Here is a 2335-nt window from a genome sequence, read left to right as displayed (position 1 = left end):
CCATGAGAGTCACAGAGAAACCACCCAAAGCCTTCACTGTTGAATGGTCATGACCAATTTTGAAACTAATGCCAGACTTTTTAATTATTAATGTTTCTTTTAAAGAGTATCAACATTACTTACAAGTAAAATTGACCTTATTGGTAAAGCTCTATAGGCAGTGAAAACAGGTACAACTCTGGAATTAGCTTAGGTTGAAATCTTGGGTAGCTCTCACTAGTGCTACTCACCATTACACCATGAACTATTTACTTAAATTATCAAAGCCTTAGTTTTCCCATCTGTAAAACGGGAATAATATAATTTCTATCTTATAAGTTTTTAATGTCAGTGACAAATATATATATATAGAGAGTTTAGCAGAGTGACTTTAGTAAAGCTCAGTATTAGCTATTGTTAATAAAGTAACAATATTAATCTATACTGATATGAGAGAGTATGCATGTAATATTAAGTGATGAAAGCACCATTATGTATAGTAGTTACCATTTTATAAAAATAAATATATATCCCTAGAAAAATTCTAGAAATGTATAACAATTATGGTATTATTAATAACAATGCTTATCTTTGGGTATTAGGATTACTGATACTTTTAATTCTGTTCTTTTTATTTTTCTAAATGTTCTGGAATTTTAAAAAGTAAGCATATATTCTACATATACATGTACATACACACACATATACCTATATAAATTTTAAAGTAGTTAAATTTGGTGGGTGGTATGAAGAGGCAGAAAGAATGGAAAAACCTGCAGAGAATATTCAGAAGGAGTGAGGAATAGGGAGTGAGCACAGCTGCAGAAGCAAAGGGAGGAACCGATTTTAAGAAAAGCATAGTCAACGTTATGGAGTGCTTCTGGAGAGTGACAAGTCAGATAAAGACTGAAAAGCGTTCACTGAATTTCATCTTATGGAGACCAGTGGTCACCTTAGAAAGAACTGTGTCAACTAAGAAACCAGAGTGCAGTGAAAATGAGAAGTAAATGCTCAACTAAGAAATGAGTTGAAAAGCGACTAAATGGCAAAAGTAAATGTATATTAATCTTTCAATAAGCTGGACTGTGAAGAAGAAAGAGAGGGAGTGTTTCAGGAAGAATCCAGCACAGAAGAGATTTAAGCTACAGAATGAGAGAGACAGTAGTTATGGCAGGGGTCCCAAAGAGGCAGAAGAAAATGGTATCCAGTTGTATTTGTGTGGGAAAAAATTCCTTCAGCAAGAATTTTCATCACTTCATTTAGTGGTGTTTTTCACTCCCTTAATGGTGCATTTTGATGGACAGAATTTCATAATTTTAATGTAATAAAAATATTTTTCATTATTGTCAGTGATTTTATGTCTTATTGTAAAAATAATTTCTTATCCCAAGGTCATAAAGATGCTCGTCTATATTCTCTTCTAAAAATGTTTAAAATTTGCATTTAAGTCCATAGTTCATCTTCAATTGATTTTTGTGTATGGCATGAGGTAGACATCTTATTTCATTAAAAAACAATAGATAGCCAATTATCCCAGGCTCGTTAACTTTATCCATTGGTATTTGGTGGTACCTCTGTCGTGCACGATAGTGATTTGTGAGAGCTAAGTGTTAGCATCTCTCTCCAACTCTGCATTCAGTAAAGTCATATTGGTACCTTGAAAGCAGGCAAGTTTTAGTATTTACACATGGAAATCAGCAGGCAACTACAAACAAGGCTGTTTTGGCTGGGGAGCTGGCTTGTTCATGATGAACGGCTTTTGCAAAAAGAATCTAGATTCTAGAATCTAGAATCTAGACGCTAGATTTGAATTGCTAATATTTTGGTAGATTTAACATAGATTGTTGCATCTATGTTCGTGAGTGAGATTAATCTGAAATTTTTTTTCTTGTAATACTTTTGCTTGGCTTTTGAATGGAAATTGTGCTATCATTGTAAATTAACTGGGAATTGCTTTCTTTCTTTCTATTCTCTGGAAAAATTTGATTAAAATTGAAATTAACTCTTTCCAGTAGAACTTACTGGTAAAATCATTTTGGGCCTACTATGGTGTGTGTGTGTGTGTGTGTGTGTGTGTGTGTGTGTGTGTGTGTCTGTCTGTCTGTGTGTGTGCATGCATGCACATGCCTGTGAAAAGATTTAGGGTACTGATACAATTTCTTTTTCTTTTTTTTTGAGACAGAGTCTCATTCTGTCACCCAGGCTGGGGTGCAGAGGCACCATCTCGTCTCACTGCAACCTCCGCCTTCTGGGTTCAAGTGATTCTCGTGCCTCAGCCTCCCAGGTAGCTGGGACTATAGACCCCCGCCACCACGCCTGGCTACTTTTTGTATTTTTAGTAGAGATGAGGTTTCGC

General features: G+C 35.1%; 1 annotated feature.

Annotated features, from left to right (window-relative positions):
- Positions 750–950: a silencer, noted in NCBI's record as "peak2351 fragment used in MPRA reporter construct". NCBI's record gives its function as "represses an SCP1 promoter by STARR-seq MPRAs in K562 erythroleukemia cells {active_cell/tissue: K562}" and the evidence as "EXISTENCE:reporter gene assay evidence [ECO:0000049][PMID:32103011]".

This window comes from Homo sapiens, chromosome 15 (genome assembly GCF_000001405.40).
Source record: "Homo sapiens chromosome 15, GRCh38.p14 Primary Assembly".
NCBI lineage: Eukaryota > Metazoa > Chordata > Mammalia > Primates > Hominidae > Homo > Homo sapiens.
The sequence above is the reverse complement of the archived record's forward strand: the minus strand, read 5'-3'. Positions and strand labels throughout refer to the sequence as shown.